Source organism: Homo sapiens, chromosome X (genome assembly GCF_000001405.40).
Source record: "Homo sapiens chromosome X, GRCh38.p14 Primary Assembly".
Taxonomy (NCBI): domain Eukaryota; kingdom Metazoa; phylum Chordata; class Mammalia; order Primates; family Hominidae; genus Homo; species Homo sapiens.
The window spans coordinates 109,676,021-109,693,773 of record NC_000023.11 but is presented as its reverse complement, the minus strand read 5'-3'; the positions used below and the strand labels follow the sequence as shown (position 1 = coordinate 109,693,773).

The 17,753-nt window shown below is 37.6% G+C and overlaps 1 protein-coding gene across 11 annotated transcripts in view, besides 2 other annotated features; it reads left to right on the top strand.

Moving 5' to 3' along the window:
• The window catches only part of ACSL4 (acyl-CoA synthetase long chain family member 4), a 91,923-nt gene that overhangs the window by 39,484 nt on the left and 34,686 nt on the right, over positions 1–17,753 (top strand). For 2 of the 11 annotated variants that reach the window (NM_001437252.1, NM_004458.3), the window contains 6 exons: positions 10,402–10,638; positions 10,878–11,055; positions 12,399–12,508; positions 12,638–12,776; positions 15,359–15,509; positions 15,663–15,786. In NM_001437252.1, coding sequence (NP_001424181.1) covers positions 10,411–10,638; positions 10,878–11,055; positions 12,399–12,508; positions 12,638–12,776; positions 15,359–15,509; positions 15,663–15,786 — 930 coding nt within the window. In that variant the 5' untranslated portion in view covers positions 10,402–10,410. Of the gene's footprint in view, positions 1–2,642; positions 2,772–8,329; positions 8,348–10,107; positions 10,639–10,877; positions 11,056–12,398; positions 12,509–12,637; positions 12,777–15,358; positions 15,510–15,662; positions 15,787–17,753 lie in introns of all 11 variants that reach the window. The other 9 variants (NM_001437251.1, NM_001318510.2, NM_001437247.1 and 6 more) reach the window with 6 other exon arrangements.
• Positions 7,678–7,727: an enhancer, noted in NCBI's record as "active region_29846". NCBI's record gives its function as "activates an Ori minimal core promoter by ATAC-STARR-seq in GM12878 lymphoblastoid cells {active_cell/tissue: GM12878}" and the evidence as "EXISTENCE:reporter gene assay evidence [ECO:0000049][PMID:35858748]".
• Positions 7,788–7,857: an enhancer, noted in NCBI's record as "active region_29845". NCBI's record gives its function as "activates an Ori minimal core promoter by ATAC-STARR-seq in GM12878 lymphoblastoid cells {active_cell/tissue: GM12878}" and the evidence as "EXISTENCE:reporter gene assay evidence [ECO:0000049][PMID:35858748]".

Sequence of the window (17,753 nt, the reverse complement as noted above, 5' to 3'; positions counted from 1 at the left end):
TCTGTGACACTTTGGAGGCCCCCCATCAATTGCCTTTGTCTGAACTTTCCCAAAATATGTTTCAAAATGGAAATAATTAGCTCCCTTATCAACCTTGTCTTACTCATCTTACTGAAGCATAAGCCAGATAAACAAATGAATGTGGAGGGAGAGAACAGAATGGAATGTATTCCCAATCCTAATGTGGAAATATTAACTCCAGGGGTACTTTTCCATGGCTTCTTATATTTGGCTTTGTGTGACTTCCTTCTTTAGGTAGGAATTCTTTAATTTCTGAAATGTCAGACATACTCAAAATGAAATGCTAATAAGGATAAAATGCATTTTTGAATTATCTGCTGTCTTTAGAATATGTGGCCTTCTGTTCTTTACTACGGCTAATATGTGAGCATTGACTATATGGCCATAAGATTTCAATATTCAACAGATTTATCAGTCTTTGAGTTATTTAATTAGAATCACTTCTAAGATCTATTTAATACTGAAAAGCAGAATGAGTTTTTTTTTTTTTAAATCACGATACAATTTTGTATTATGGTGGTCAGGCAGCTGAATTATAGTCATTTATTTGGCCATTTTATAAGAAATGGTTTAAGACTGCATTGTTGCATAATTTATTAACAGTCTGACATATTGAAAAGAACATTGACAAACTAACCTATTAAGCTGGTTCCTCCTCTGGCAGATGGGGAGGGCAGATCATGTGGCAAAAAAAGGCATAGTTGTAAAATTCTCCCTGTAACATGAATCTATTCCTATGGGAACTACTACTGCTGCTTAAAGACTTTTTTGGAACCTACACTCATGGTTGAAAGCCCTAAGTTGTATTACTTTATTATAATAAATATGTAAGATGACAGGAGATAGATGTATAACCTATAGATATTTTGTATATTCTTCACTTGAACAAAACACATTTATTATAAAAGTTAACTTTAAAGTTAAATTCTATAACCCAATTATTTTTGGTTAACTTATGTTAAAATCATCTATATATCCCAACAGAGAAAAAGCACCCAGTAAATCGAAGACTTTGTAGATAAAATAAAAGTCTGCACTGTGGTACAATGGGCAGTTTAATTTAGCAGCAAGGTTTTGTGTACAGGGACCTGCAGCAGTTACTCTTTAGCATCAGTTGTACAACATTGACATTGTCATTGTGCTGTCTGCTGCCCTTCTACAGCAATGAACCATTTGTATTGCTCTCTAAACACATATCACCCAGAACTTAGTTTTTCTCCCTTTTTCATTATGTTTAATAAAGTTTGATTATAGCATCATGCTTAGCCAGTAGGTGCCACTTCTAGCCTGATTTATCCTCAAGATTCCTTAAATGTAAGCTTTGGATTATTTACAACCAATTATTGGATTAAATTATATACAACCAATTCCCAGCTTTAGAAAGCTACATTTTTAAAAATCAAGTGTATCTTGATCACTTAAAATGAGGAATAGATGTATAATTATACACAGTGTATGTGAAGTGTGTAGGCATCAACATTGACTCCTAGAGCTCCTCATTTTAACATACATAGATAGGATACTGATTATAACATCCTATGACCTAGCAACAACATTATCTGATGCATGCTGGGGATCTTCTTAAGGCATGATGGGAGGGAATTCACTCTAGAGCATTAAAAGTGTCTTCAACATGGCAGCTGAGGTGCTTTCTTTGCTGGGAAAAGCTGCAAAGAGACTGGCAGAATGGCGACTTCAGGAGTTAATACCTCTCCAGGTGATGAAGTAAACAGGTTCAGTTTATCTTGTGAGAGACGCACCCAAAGATCAGTCATAATTGTGAAAAGCTTTCAGTCATACTAGCCAGGCACAGGTGTAATGTGTTGGTATATGGCATCTCTATAGTCATCTTAGGTTTTGTTTTGCTTTTCTTGGTTTTAAAATGTATTTATTATAATTACTGTATATTTGAGCTTAAGGTTTGATTGCACAAGTTATTTGATATTGAATAGACTGCTTGTTATTTGCAATATAACAATTTGAATCAGATGAGACAAGTGCCGTAATGATACATATATTTTACATGATTATTTCGTCTTGCAGACTGATGAAAGATCTTGTTAGAACTCTTAATGCTTTTATTTTCTTAATGTATTGGCATTCTCTAAGTTTTAATGTTAAAGTATAAAGTTAATTGTAATGTCTCTTGTAAAGTTTGATTTCATTTACAAAGTGAAACCATTCTGACTCAACCTAGTTGAGCTTTCTCTGGTATGTTTTACAATCATTTGGAAGTTTTTAATAGTGTATGAAAGAAAATAAGATTTTAAGGAAGCACTCCACCCCTTTACAAAAGTCCTTGTGATGCAACATGTATTTAGAAATATGATCTTTTAAAGTACAGCAGGTATTCTTATCGGTTTAATCTCTTGGAACTTTTATAATTGTTTTCTGATTTAATGTTTACTAGTTACAACTAATCTTTTTCAGAAGGCAAATTGTCTCTTTATTTGGTGCTTAAATTACTCTTAAATAATGTGTAACTTGAAAATGAGACTTCTAAAAAAGTAGCACTTATATAGTTAATTGTTGATTTTCAAATTGATTTAAAAACTATTTTTGTAAGATCTTATGTCAAGGACAAAGTTAATTTGTCACTACTGTATGTTTCAACTTGGCAGATGCATGGATCCTTGCTTGGTTTAGTTCATTTTCTAAAACTTTTGAAAAAATATCTTGGCATTAACCAACTGCAGTTCAGTAGTTTTTCTCTTTCATTCTCAAATTGGTGTTGTGTCACATGCTTCTGGGTAAGACGATTTCTTCTTTTAAATTCAGACTTTAATTAATATGTAGTGTTTGTTTACTTTGTGTACTAGAGCTTAATGTATCACTAATGCTTTCTGTATTTAACCTATCTCGGAGTGTTTGAAGTAACTGGAATGAAATACTTATTAAATCTCACCTCAGAACAAAAAAATAAAATAAAATTGAATCTGATTTTTCACTAAAACTTCTAGTACTTACTGGACATCTATAGAGGCCCCCCCCCCCTAAAATGTCTTAGGATGTAGGACAGATTAGTGCTCAAAATTGTTGCCAGTATTTCTTCATACCCAAAGTTTGTCACTCTCACTTATTTAGATTATACCAGTATTACTAGGATCACAGATAATTGAGCTAAAAACATGGACTTTAAAATCAAAGCGACCTGGTTCGAATCTCTACTCAGCTGTGCTATCTTGGGCAACTTAATCTCTCTGAGTCTGTTATATCTTTAAAATGAAGGTACTACCTCAAAGGAGTTTTCTGAAGGATTAAATGAGATAATATATCTGAAGGACTTAGCACAGTATCTAGCCTGTAGTAAATGCTCAATACCTGGTTATTACTATGATTCCCATATGGAATGGTAAAGTTCAACAGGAGCAATTAACTATCCAATGACTGAAGATAATGCCCTGCCTTTTTCTGGCTGACATACAAATACATGATTTCAAGGAAGCACCACTCAAAGTTCATGTCCTCCTAATGATGGGATAGCAGTATCATTCTTCATACATGGAAGGACAGCATACCTTTGTGAAAATTATCAGTGAAAATGCACATAGTGCAAATTGTGTAACCTTCATGCTTTTATAACACCAATCTTTTCCAACTCTATGCAACAGGCAGTTTTTCCAGTTTCATATTTTCTATTAAGCAACTAACAACATGTTCAAGTTTATTTTAATTACCAGGGATTTTAAGAGTATAGTATTTCCTAGGATGTTGACATGGACAAGTGATTGTTTTTTAAGATGATTAAAGTTAGCTACCTTCACGTTATTGTACTTGCATATATTTTTACCTTATAGATTCAGAATAATTCCAGTACATTCTTAATTCAGTAAACAATTTGATTGAAGCCAACACACGGAGGCACTGTTCCAGTCACAGATTCAGCAGCAAATGAGACAAACTCTCTGCCTTGTGAAGCTTATATTCTACTGGGAGCATAGACAGTAAACATGAAAAATAAAACATGGTATATTAGTAAAAGTACTCAGGAAAAAAATAACGCAAGTAAGGGATAGAAAGTGTGGGGAGTACAATTTTAAAAGAAGTTGGCTGGAGAAATGCCTCACTGAGAAGGTGTTCTTTGAGTAAAGAAAAAAAAAGAGGCAAGAGAATAAGCTACGTAGATGTCTTGGAAGAACATTCCAGGCAGAGAGAACCTCAAGTACAAAGGCCATGGGGCAGGAACAAATGGGACTGCAGAAGAATGTTCCAGGGAAAGCGTACTAGGAGGTGAAGTCAGAACCTTGGGGTAGGGGAAAGACTATATAGTCTTGTAGGTTGTAGTAAGGACTTCAGCTTATATTCTGGGTGAGTCATATGGGAATTCTTTGAAAGATTTTGAGCAGAGGAATGGTATGATCTAACTTACATTTTGAGAATAGTACTCTGGCTTCTGAGTTTAGAATTTATTGTAGGGGTATGAGATGGAAGCAGGGAGACTAGATTGGCTATCCCATTTATCCACATGAGAGATGATATTGGCTTAAACCAGGATGGTAACAGTGGAGGTGGTAAGAAGTAGTTGAATTAGATTCACCTTTTTTGTAAGTCAAACCATTAGGATTTGCTGGTGAATTGCCTGTGGAATGTGTGAGAAAGAGAGGGGGGTAAAAGGGTGAATCTAAGGTTTTTGGTCAAAGCAAGTGGAATATATAGAGATGGGCAAGACTGGGTGAGATAGGATTGTGGAAGGATGATCTCAGTTTTGAACATGCTAAGTTTGAGGTATTTAACTGACACCTAAGTGGATCTGTTGAGGAAACAGTTGGATATACAAATCTAGTGTTTAAGGCAGACTTCCAGGCTTGAAGGAAAAATTTGGAAGTCATCACGACATATATGTGGTATTTAAAATTGTGAGGTTCAAGGACCAAGCCCCATACCATTTAGAGGCCAGGAATGTGAGGAAGAAGCAGAAAAAAAAAAAAAGACTGAAAAGGAATAGCCAGGGAAGTAGGAAGAAAACCTGAAGAATATGGTTTCCTGGAAGCTAAGTGAAGAAGTTTAAAGCAGAAGAGGGCTCAGCTGTGTTAAAGGCTGCCAGTGGGTCAAGGAAGAAGAGAACTGAGCTTTAATTGACCTTTGGATCTAATAGCATGGAAGTCATTGGAGACCCTGATGAGGAGAACAAGTTTATAGAGTGGTAGGAGACATAAGCCTGATTGTAGTGGGTTCAAGAGAAAATAGGAGAGAACTGGGAGACAGAGAGCCATAGACACCTCTTTCAAGGAGTGCCAAAGAGATAGAAAATAAATGGGCTATAGCTGAAAAGAAGATGCAAAGGAGGGAATGTTTTTTAAGATGAAAGAAATAACAGCTGGTTATGATGCTGAAGGGAATAGTTCAGAAGAGCAGGGAAAATTAATGAGGAAGGACGAGAGGGAAGAATTGGTAGAGTAGCACTTCCGTGTCCTTATAAAGACAGGGTGTAATGCATAAATGAAGGGGTTGGCCTCAGCTTGGAGCATCAACAGTTCATCCATAGTCACAGGAGAGAAAACAGCATGTGGCCACAGATTTGATTAGGTGGGTAGATGTAGCAGTGAGAGTCTGTGGAAATTATCTTTGGATTGTTGCTGTTTTGTCTGCAAAATAGGTCAGCTGCTGAGAATAAGTCTGGATGAGGAATGTTGGTGGTCTGAAGAGAGTAAAGTATGAAATCCAGAGGAGTGGGCCAGTGAGTGGACTAGTGCGGTGTGGTCTCTCTGCATCAGGGAGAGTCCATTTGAGGTAGCAATCACAAGTTTAAAGTGAGACACTCAACACAGTCATGTGTTTCTCACAGCAAATTCAGCTGCATAGGTACAGGTACAGATTAGGTGGAGAATTGGATAGGATAGAACCAGGCTGTGGTTGAGATGATTAAGTACAACCAAGTGAGACAACCAAGAGGGACTGAGTATGATTGCCTATGGAATTTAAGAGGAAGAAGACAAAGGTTTCTCACAAAAGCACTATAAAGTAGGTAATATAAGCAGTATTCCTGTTTTACAGATGAAGCCACTAATATAGAGCTTTCTTTTTTAAATCATACTTTAAATTCTGGGATACATGTGCAGAACGTGCAGGTTTGTTACATAGGTATACACGTGCCATGGTGGTTTGCTGCACCCATCAACCCATCATCTACGTTAGGTATTTCTCCTAATGCTATCCCTCCCCTAGCCCTCCATCCCCTGACAGGCCCCTGTGTGTGATGTAACCCTCCCTGTGTCCATGTTTTCTCATTGTTCAACTTCCACTTGTGAGTAAGAACATGCAGTGTTAAGTTTTCTGTTCCTGTGTTAGTTTGCTGAGAATGATGGTTTCCAGCTTCATCCATCTCCATGCAAAGGACATGAACTCATTGTTTTTTATGGCTGCATAGAACCACATTTTAAACCCAGATCTGTTAGCCTAGAAAATTTTTGTTGTTTCTCTTATGAGACATTATATTTTGCCTAATGATGGGTACGATGCTCAGCATCATACCCTTACCACCAACTCTTCTTTTTTTGAAGTGAAATGAAATGTTTAAATCTTTTTTGAAATGAATTTATCAATAGACTGAGTATAACCCCTGACAAGGAAGTATTATAGTTTAAGATGATAGGCAAAACTGGGCAGAGGCTGGCTAGTGTACTTGAAAGAGCACTGGGTGCTCGATTTGTGCTCTGCCATTCATTTGCTTCTCTGTAAGATGAGGGCTCAGACAATATCAGTGGTTCAAATATTCAGCTGAACTGGAAGTTCCAAGGAGTCCCTTCAGGGGCTGTCATAGCCTCCTCTACCAGAGCAGCTATGCTTTTTGCTTTCATCTACGCTTGTGTTTTTATATCTATATAAGATTTTATTCAAATGGATGACCCATGACCCCCTCACTACCTGCAGAAAGAATTTGAAAACCTCTAGACTAAATGATCTCTCTGGTTTCTTCTCACCTGAATGTTCTTTGAGCCTTGCCTACTGTGTGTGTGTGTGTGTGTGTGTGTGTGTGCATGCGTGTGTGTGTGTCTGTACTAAGCACTATGAGGATTACCTAGAAAGCATTTCTCTTTCTCTAAGACTTAAGGCAAATATGTATAAAAGATTAAATTTATGTAACATCAATAACTAAAAAACATACAATGCATTTTAAATCCAACTAAAGTACAGGCTCTTCAAAAGCTATTTTCTGTTTCTTTATATATTTTCAGCCTTAAGCCTGAAGATTTCTCAATTGAGGGTAAGGTGGTACTCACCCCTTAGGGGCATTTTATAAATCTGAAGACATGCTTTTATGTCTGCTAATATTGTCTCTGAGAATGTATGTATTGAAACAAGTATTTTGTTAAATTTTAAATTAGTTTCTTTATGGTACTCTTTTATATTACCAGTAAGAAATCATTTTTTAAAATGGTGTGTTGGTAGATTATGACTATCCTTTGATGTTGATGAAGAGGTATCACAAAATATTTGTCATAAGAAAGAGGTACTGGGTTTGATATGGTTGAGAACTACTGGTCCGTGTTCTATACTGTGGTACCCAGAAGTTTGGAAGTGATGGTAGTATAATCATGTATCAGATTGAGTGGTAGATATTGCTAATGATGTGTGAAATTAGAAAAAGTAAAGATTGTTCTGGACTTGGGTAGCCATGAAATCTTCAGTGGGAGGAGAGGATTGTTAGAGGGGATCTTACATTCAGCATTATGATAAACCCTTGACATGACATACCTTATCTTGAAGAAATGAATGACCAGACTTGTCCGAGAGACTAAGAAGGTACTTTCCAAGTAGGGTAAGTCATAGAATTTAAAGCTGGAAAGGCCCTAAGAATCACCTAGGCCAGACATTTTTAGTTCAGGGTTGTTGCCCTTTGAAGTTCATGGATGGATTTCAAGGAACTTGTGAATCACTTGACATTGTGTGTATCATTTAGCATGTCTTTCTGAGGGGAATTGGGTTCCTCGTTCTCATTCTCAAAAAGGCCCATCATCTCTAAGAGGTTAAGGCCTGCTGATCTAGTGTGGTCCCAGACTGAGGTAGATGGTTTGCTCAAGGTTACACAGCCAGTTAGGGGCAGAGATGAGGATTGACACCCAGTGACTTCCAGTTTCTTTCTCATTTCACTGTACTCAACTAAATTACATGAACAAAGGCACAGGCAGGATTAAGCTACCATTTTATATTAGATGGTATAAAAACAATCAACTAGCCTGGGGTCAATTGAATTAAGTCTGTCAGTCTGTTTCTACAAAAGTTGCAGAAGGATGGGCTTCAGTTTGTCTCTTCAAAGTGAACTAATATTTTGATTTTTCTGGTTGAAATATGCTACAACTCACCGAAGTAGCTTTCTCAGTTGAAGGTAAGCTCCTTAAAAAATGTTCCTATTCTTGGGCCGGGTGTGGTGGCCCCCGCCTGTAATCCCAGCACTTTGGGAGGCCATTGAGGGCAGATAGCTTGAGTCCAGGATTTTGAGAACAGCCTGAGCAACAATGGCAAAACCCCGTCTCTACAAAAAATGGAAAAAAACTAGCCAGGCATGGTGATGCACATCTGTGTTCCCAGCTACTCGGGAGGCTGAGGTGGGAGGATCTTTTGAGTCCGGGAGGCAGAGGTTGCAGTGAGCTGAGATCATGCCACTGCACTCTGGCCCGTGTGACAAAGTGAGACCTTGTCTCAAAAAAAAAAAAAAAAAAAAAAGAAAGAAAAGAAATATTACTATTCTTGAGCCTGTTTCTGCGGTTTCTTTCCAATGGCACTGTTTTTCTAACCTGCAGCAGCCCCCAGCTTTCCACATAATCCAATCAAAATTACTTTGCCTGATTTGTTAGATTTTGTAACTACCGTAGCGTATTTAGTCAAGCGTATTTAGCGTATTTAGTGTATGCTGTGCCCCAGTCAGACTAGTGTCCTTGCTATTGGTACTTCCTATTCTCCCAAAGTCCTTTCATTCCCACCTTCGTATCTTTTTTCATATGGTCCCTGAGCCTGGAATACCTTCCATTCCTCTTTCATTTCTAGATGCCCAACATAAGGTCCAGCTTAAATCTAATCTCCACAAAGCCTCTCCTAGTTACTCTTGGCCATTTTGCACTTCCTCTGAACTCCTTTTGCATTTATTGCTTATACTACTGCCTACACTGCACATGGTAGTTATGTATTAGTTATGTATTACCACAAGGCTTTTCAGTGGAAATGCTTTAGTGGTCACCTTGGGAGTTGGGATTCCGGGAATTCTGGGGCAGGACTCTGGACATCCCCAAACCCTGTTTTGGCCAGAGCAACTCCACTTTAGTGTTATATATGGGCAGTTTCCAGTAGTGTTTATTAGAAGAGATGGTTTAATTGCACCCCCTGTCCCCGTTCCCCCAAACAGTTGCAAAAATACTGGATCTATCTTGTGTGATAGTTGACTCATAAGTGTTAACTTATAATGGCCAAGGGCCAGGAATTAATACTACTTCAGACTTGTATTACCACTCCTAGGCAACTGGTGCAGTTTTGAGCACAAAGTGGACATGTAGGAAATGATTTTACAATTGTATTGCTCCCATGTGGGAAATAGTAGATAGTAAATAGCATTACCTGAGAAATTTACCTTAATGAAGAACTCAGAATAAGGTTTCTGGGTTGACCTTTGAGAAATAAATCTAAGTTGATAGTTTCTGCCCCACCCCCCCCTTTGGATATAAACCTAACACTATTTAAAGATGTCTAGTTTACATGCACATGTTTAAGAGAAATCTTATTATTGGCATACCCTATTCTACCAAAGTTTTGACAAACTTAAATATCATATTCATGCATTTGTGTAAGCATTAAGGTTGTTATTCAACTCACAGAATGATATGCAGAGTACCAGTACACCTAGAAACCTAGAAAAAAATAAATTCAGAAGTTGATGTGCTCAAAGACATTTACGTCAATAATGATTACAAATGGAAAATGCCAGCCTTTCAGACCAGTTATTTCAGCTTTCTGTAATTAATTGTGTAAACTAATAAAGACCTGAGTATTTAAATCAATTGTGCTATCAACTTGTTAATATTCTTTTGTTTTTGTTTTTTGTTTTTTGTTTTTATTTTTCCTGCTCTCTGCTTGGTTCATTGTCATCACCTACAGGCGTACTTTATTGTCGGCTTCCAAAGATTACTAACTTTTATCTGTATCACTAAGATTGAACTGCCTTGGCTGTACTGCTATTCTTACTGCTGCTTCTATTATTGCCTTCTTCAGCACAATAAGGCTTTCAAAAGCCAAAGAATAACAAGAAATAAGCACCATTTTAGAAGCCTTTCCACTATGAAACTTAAGCTAAATGTGCTCACCATTATTTTGCTGCCTGTCCACTTGTTAATAACAATATACAGTGCCCTTATATTTATTCCATGGTATTTTCTTACCAATGCCAAGAAGAAAAACGCTATGGCAAAGAGAATAAAAGCTAAGCCCACTTCAGACAAACCTGGAAGTCCATATCGCTCTGTCACACACTTCGACTCACTAGCTGTAATAGACATCCCTGGAGCAGATACTCTGGATAAATTATTTGACCATGCTGTATCCAAGTTTGGGAAGAAGGACAGCCTTGGGACCAGGGAAATCCTAAGTGAAGAAAATGAAATGCAGCCAAATGGAAAAGTTTTTAAGAAGGTAAAGTATTTTGGTGCTTTTCATTTATGTTTTAAAGAGGAAGACACATTTGTTTTATCATAAATCGAGTGCGTTTTAAGTATGCTGGCATTCTATTATAGTGCTGTGTAAAACTACTCAGAAGCCGCTCATAGCTTCTGTATGTTCATTTAAGAGCATTTTTAGAGTTTTATGCTTTGGATAGTATTTTAATTGCTTGTTTGAATATACTAATATTAGAGAATGTATCACTTTAACAGTTAATTCTTGGGAATTATAAATGGATGAACTATCTTGAAGTGAATCGCAGAGTGAATAACTTTGGTAGTGGACTCACTGCACTGGGACTAAAACCAAAGAACACCATTGCCATCTTCTGTGAGACCAGGGCCGAATGGATGATTGCAGCACAGACCTGCTTTAAGTACAACTTTCCTCGTAAGTGCCTTGTGTTTTTGGAGGGGGGAGAGGAGGGTCTTTGCTTGCATGTGAGAATTGTTTTGAGATGCTCTTGTTTTCACAGTAGGTGTTGTTTAGCCATTTTACACATTAATTATGTCCATAATACGGCATGTAATATTGTGGCTAAAAGATATCCGATGACTCCTGTTAAGTATGGTAACTTGTAAGAACTAATATGGGAATTGGCAGCTTTAAGGGATGTGATTTACACTTTTATTTTCCAATTGGAAATGAATTGTAACTGAAAGAGTTGGAGTTTGGGGGTATTTTGGGGGGGTGATATACAAAGAGTAATGATTAAAAGAACAAAAAACCATTTCTCAGGATAATTCAAATTCATTGCTTCACTTTGAGACCTCTTATTTGACTTATTCTATTTTACGTGTGAAATATGCATGTGACAGCTGGAATTGGCATTAGATATGTTAGAAAGTAAAATTGAGTATATTTCTAATACTCAAGCATTTGTTGTTGCCATTGTTTAAGAAATAAACAATGTATTGTCACATACTAAGTACTCTGTTGTTTGTTGAATGAAATATAACACTGTAAGTTAGGATTATAGAGCTTAAATTTCAAACAAAAAATAGATAATATGAAAATGATCCCCTATGTACCCATTACCCACTTTCAACGATGAACAGCTTGTGAAAGTGGCTATTTTTAACCACATTGTTTCTGGTTACCAATCTAGAGCTGAATTTTCAGTTCTTTCTAAGTTTAGCAGATGTCCTTTGATTCTAACTGATCTTGGTTTATGTTATCTCTGGTGGCTCCTAAGGAGTAGATCTCCTTGATCTCTCTAATTAAGGTGTGGAGGTCACCAATCACATTGGACATTGGACTCACTAAAACAGCTTCTTAGAAGGAGTAAGAACATTATCTGTGGCTGATCTTATGACTTAAGATCCTCAAGATTTTCAAGGACTTATCCATTCTTTGGAGGCTATGGCCAATGAAAGTGTGTATCAAGAAGAAGCCCTAGCTGGGCCAGTCTGACCTGAATTAAGAGTTCAGCCAGTACCTATTGGCCTTGAGCATCTAAATTGACAGATTTTTGATCAGCTGTGGCAGTGCGAGTGTTTCTGGGTTTCTTCAGGTTTAGGAAGTGAGAGTTCTGGGAATTTGTAAGGAAAACTTTGGGCTCCCAGGGAGTTTGAAGCAAGGTTGAAGGATGGTAACAGAGACTATGAAATCAAATTAAAATATACAATGTCTTTGTGTCTCTAAGTGTAACTATTATTAAAGACTGACTTCAATAATATCCATTTCTAATAGATGTTTATTACTTAATATTTGTGTTTATTTTTATTATGTAGTTGTGACTTTATATGCCACACTTGGCAAAGAAGCAGTAGTTCATGGGCTAAATGAATCTGAGGCTTCCTATCTGATTACCAGTGTTGAACTTCTGGAAAGTAAACTTAAGGTAAATATGAAATTTTCTTTTAATTCATGGTTGCGTTGTCTGGCAGGACAGAAAAATATTCATTCAGTAAGTGAATTTTTGTTGCAGGCTTAAGTTTAATAGCTGTTTTTTTTTCTTTCTGCTCAACAGACTGCATTGTTAGATATCAGTTGTGTTAAACATATCATTTATGTGGACAATAAGGCTATCAATAAAGCAGAGTACCCTGAAGGATTTGAGATTCACAGCATGCAATCAGTAGAAGAGTTGGGATCTAACCCAGAAAACTGTAAGTAAAGCAGTAAAAACAATTTTATTTACCTATTCCAAGTTTGTTATTTTGGTAGGTTAGGGAAACAAATGACATGAGTAAATCCACAAAAGTTCTTTGACTGAAAAAAAAAAGTTCAAAAATCTTTAAAAACCATCAAGACCATATATGATTAAGATTTTCCCTCCATTTCTCCTCAAAAAAAATAAGTTAGTAAATTTCACTAAGTGGTTGAGATGTAATCTGTGGTTCAGACTTCATGGCAGTTGCTGCCAAATGTTTCTTCATTTTTTAAATAACCCACTATAACCTTCCAATTTGGGCCTCATAAAAGAAAAATATTTCAGGCCTTCCATTCAGTAAACTTTCTGAAATAAATGCTTAATGCTAGTTATCTTAAGGATGTTTCAGAGGATGCAAAGCTGTTTACCAAGATTAATGCTTGGATTTATTTTACCACTGAGGTGGTAGTTGGTATTTCATTTGAAACAAGTAAGTGTACCTTGTAGCAAAATGTCAGTTGGCCATCAGGGCAGAGAGTTGAGGAAATTAATACTCCATTTGAAGAGTTTTCTTATTATGTTTAATGCGATGGTCAAAATACCATACTATAATGAGAAAAGGATTCATTTTTGCAGGAGAAAATGTTGGTCGAACCTCTACTCAGCTTCTGAACATTTTACCATTAGAGAATGAGCATGCGTTTATAATAACAGGTGTTATTATACACATCTGCCATGTGTCCAGAATGGCAGAGAGTCAGATTTTACCCTGCTTGCCGGCAAACAGATGAGCCTGCAAAACTTCCTGGTGCCATAGACTTTTGGGTCTGAGATGAGGGACAGTTTTTTACTCACAACAATAGCAGTAGCCAGAGTATCATATCAGCATTTGTGTCATAAGAGAGGAACTCTGAGCTTAAAGAGCCTGAATATCTTATTATCTTATTGTACTGGACAGTAAGCATGCCTGCTGTTTGCTCTGGGGAGAGACACTATCTCTGTGCAAATATCCTTGTAAAGATAGTCTGGAACAAAGTCAATGTCTCTGCTTGCAAGATGTGCAGAACATGAGACCCATAGAGAATTGTTTTTCTACACTAGGTTGACCCTGTAAGATTGGGATAAACTTGACTGAGAAGTCCTGATTGGTAGGGATCAGTTACAGTTCTGCTGATTGACCACAAAGGGTGTTGGCAGCAAGCTAAGGGGTCAGCAGTCTTCATAATTTTGTGTGAGCAATAATGTAATAGGCCACATATCCCACTTAGTTCTACTCATGTCTGCAATAGATAGGATACATATGTTTTTGTGGTACAGACAGTTATTGTGATGCCACTTTTTTGCATATTTACTTAAAAGTGGGCAGAAGCAAAGTATCACATGTGCTTAGATTAAGAAGAATTTAGCTACTGCTGTTGCTTTGGTTAATCATCAGAGGAAATATGCAGTCCTTATTTGCTTGGTTTATAAACTATGACTATATCTTTAAAAAGCATTAAAATTAGCCAGTTTAAGTGTAACTATCTTTGTTTCAGTGGTATAGCTCACTGTTTTAAAAAAATGTTATTTTAACTGGTATATAAAAATGTAAATAATTTGTGTAAAGATTTTTAAATGTGATAATCCTGTTAAACTTGTATTTCATTCTGATGATATATATGTGGCTTCTTAGCCATTTTGGTATATTCTCGGAAGGAAAAGTGGTTACTAGGCTAGCACTATACACTGTCTTGAAAGTGGAAGCTCCAGGGTTCTGTTTAAAACTTATCACCTTCAAATGTTAGCATTGAAGTCACCTTAAAGATCAGATCCAGTGGTTTTCAATCAGGGGCATATATGAGAATCACTTGTGGAGCTTTGTTCTATCCCAGACATATTGAATCTGAATTTTCAGAAAGGGGGTTCAGAAATAATATTTTATTTAAGTTCTGCACGTGATTCTGATACCCACTAGTGGTTAGTAACCACAATCTGTCCAGCTGTCTTATTTTAGAGATGAGAAACTGAGGCCTAAGAAGTTTATACACATACTCTGTCCTCCTGATACTCCAAAGTCCCAGAAATCTTTCCACAACATTGCTCTGTATACAACACTGTGGAGAGGCAATGCACAGACAGAGATTAGGTTAAACATCCAGAAAATGGGCCAAATTGAGTCCAAAATGCTCACTGTAATCAGAATTTGATAAACATTTTTGTTTTCTAGCCCAGGCTGGAGCACAATGGTATGACCATAGCTCACCATAGCCTCAACCTGCTAGGCTCACCCAGTCCTCCTGCCTTATCTTCTTGAGTAGCAAGGACTGCAGGTGCATGCCACTGCATCCGGCTAACTTTTTTAGTTTTTGTAGCGACAGAGTCTTGCCATGTTGGCCAGGCTGGTCTCGAAATCCAGGGCTCAAGTGATCCTCCCACCTTGGCCTCTCAAAGTACTAGGATTACAGGCATGAGCCACCTCACCCAGCTCGTTTTGATGATTTAAAGCAAATACTGTCTATTGATAGCTTATCGTTATGCAAAATCTAAATATCCTATTATTCTTTAGTAATTTAACTTTTGAACTGAAGTAAATGTGATATTTTTCATTCATTCATTTAGTGGGCATTCCTCCAAGTAGACCAACGCCTTCAGACATGGCCATTGTTATGTATACTAGTGGTTCTACTGGCCGACCTAAGGGAGTGATGATGCATCATAGCAATTTGATAGCTGGAATGACAGGCCAGTGTGAAAGAATACCTGGACTGGGGTAAGATAATTCTTTAACTTTCTTCTTAGAAATCAGAGTTCATGTTCAGCATTCTCTAAACTCAATCTATATTAAAATGATAAAGCTCTTGGTATTTCTAACTTCAAATGCCTTTTCAAGAATGGTTAAAATATTTCTCTTATTTTGTTTTAGACCGAAGGACACATATATTGGCTACTTGCCTTTGGCTCATGTGCTAGAACTGACAGCAGAGATATCTTGCTTTACCTATGGCTGCAGGATTGGATATTCTTCTCCGCTTACACTCTCTGACCAGGTGACAAACTTTTCAGTATATTGGCATGATCGTATGATGCTGCATGGTTTGGCTGAGAACATATTACTAGGACTCGAGATATTTTAATTCAGCTAAAGCTTTCTCCTTGACCTCAAAATAGCTTCCATGAACAATATGTAGCTATAGGAGATTACCCTGTAGATTTGTTAGCATTGCTTTAGCTATATATTTTAAAATTATTTTTTTTTTCTTTTCTTTTGCTCTGTCACCCAGACTGGAGTGCAATGGTATGATCTTGGCTCACTGCAACCTTTGCCTCTCGGGTTCAAGCGATTCTCCTGCCTCAGCCTCTAGAGTAGCTGGGATTGCAGGCGCCCGCCACCATGCCCTGCTATTTTTTTTGTATTTTTAGTAGAGATGGGGTTTCGCCATGTTGGCCAGGCTAGTCTCGAACTCCTGACCTCCAGTGATCTGTCCGCCTCGGCCTCCCAAAGTGCTGGGATTACAGATGTGAGCCACTGTGCCCAGCCTTAAAATTATTTAAAAATGAATAATTACTTTTATCTTTTTCTACTAGATTTTTACTCTTGAGAACTACGATAGAGAATATAAATGCAATGAGCCTTTTTGACACACTACCCATGAGCATTGGTGGGTTTCTGGGAGGAGATATGTTAGGGTCTTGGCCCAGTTTTCCCGAGATTTTTCTAGAGCAGTACCGTCTGATACAGTAGCCACTAGGCAGATATTTAAATAAAAATTAAGGGCCGGGCGCGGTGGCTCATGCCTGTAATCCCAGCACTTTGGGAGGCCGAGGCGGGTGGATCACAAGGTCAGGAGATTGAGACCATCCTGGCTAACATGGTGAAACCCCGTCTCTACTAAAAAAATACAAAAGAATTAGCTGGGCGAGGTGGTGGGCGCCTGTAGTCCCAGCTACTCGGGAGGCTGAGGCAGGAGAATGGCGTGAACCTGGGAGGTGGAGCTTGCAGTGAGCCAAGATCGCGCCACTGCACTCCAGCCTGGGCGACAGAGCGAGACTCCGTCTCAAAAAAAAAAAAATTAAGTAAAATTGAAAAAAATTTTTTTATTTGCTTTAGCCACATTTCAAGCTCTCAATAGCTACGTGTGACCAACGGCTACCATATTAGGCAGCAAAGATAAAGAATATTTTTATCATCACAGAAAGTTCTATTGGTAGGGGCTGAGGCATCTCCAAAGGTAGTCTCAGCTCACCATACTAAGTTAGGATTCTTCCTTCTCTCTGTAGTTCATAGCAGAAATCCCAACAATGGGTGGGGCTAACTCATATATGTTATACCCATTTGAAATTACACACCTAATACTATTGTCCACAGTTCTGTTTTATGTCTTCTTTGGAATAGTTGCTGTAGAAAAGCTTCAACCAGGCTTAGGGGAAAAAAAAAAAGAGCCACTAAAGAAGCTGTGGGGTTCTGGATGCTGAAAGACAAAGCAAGTATAGGTAGGAATGACTTGTCTATACGTGGCTCTGCTCCTCCAACACTGGGGGCCCAGCTGTTGTTTTTCAGACCGCCCCCCACCAGGCAATGCTGCCTTTTGTTTGAGAGTCTCCATGGAGCATGTAGTTGGTAAGATACGTCCTCAGTGTTCACAGTTAGAAATTGTAATACTTTATTTGTAGAAATACCATTTTAGGGAGAGGCTAGATAGGTTGTATACTATTAAAACAAAAAAAGTTAAATAGTTTTTTTTGGACTTGAGATTCCAATCACCTTTGTGTTTTTTTTTTTTTTGATATATGACTTAAAGTGCACAAATATTAAGTGTACTGCTTGATGAGATTTAATAAGCATATACACATATAGACCTCTGTGATCATCACCGTCTAGATTAGGAAAACAAAGAACATTTTCAGCACCCGTGAATGTCCCTTGGGTCCCCTCCTGGTCATTACCACATTGGATTCTCTTTGAAGGAAGAATCCAGCCTTCTTTTAAAGTGGCTTTTTCTGTGAGAACGCATTC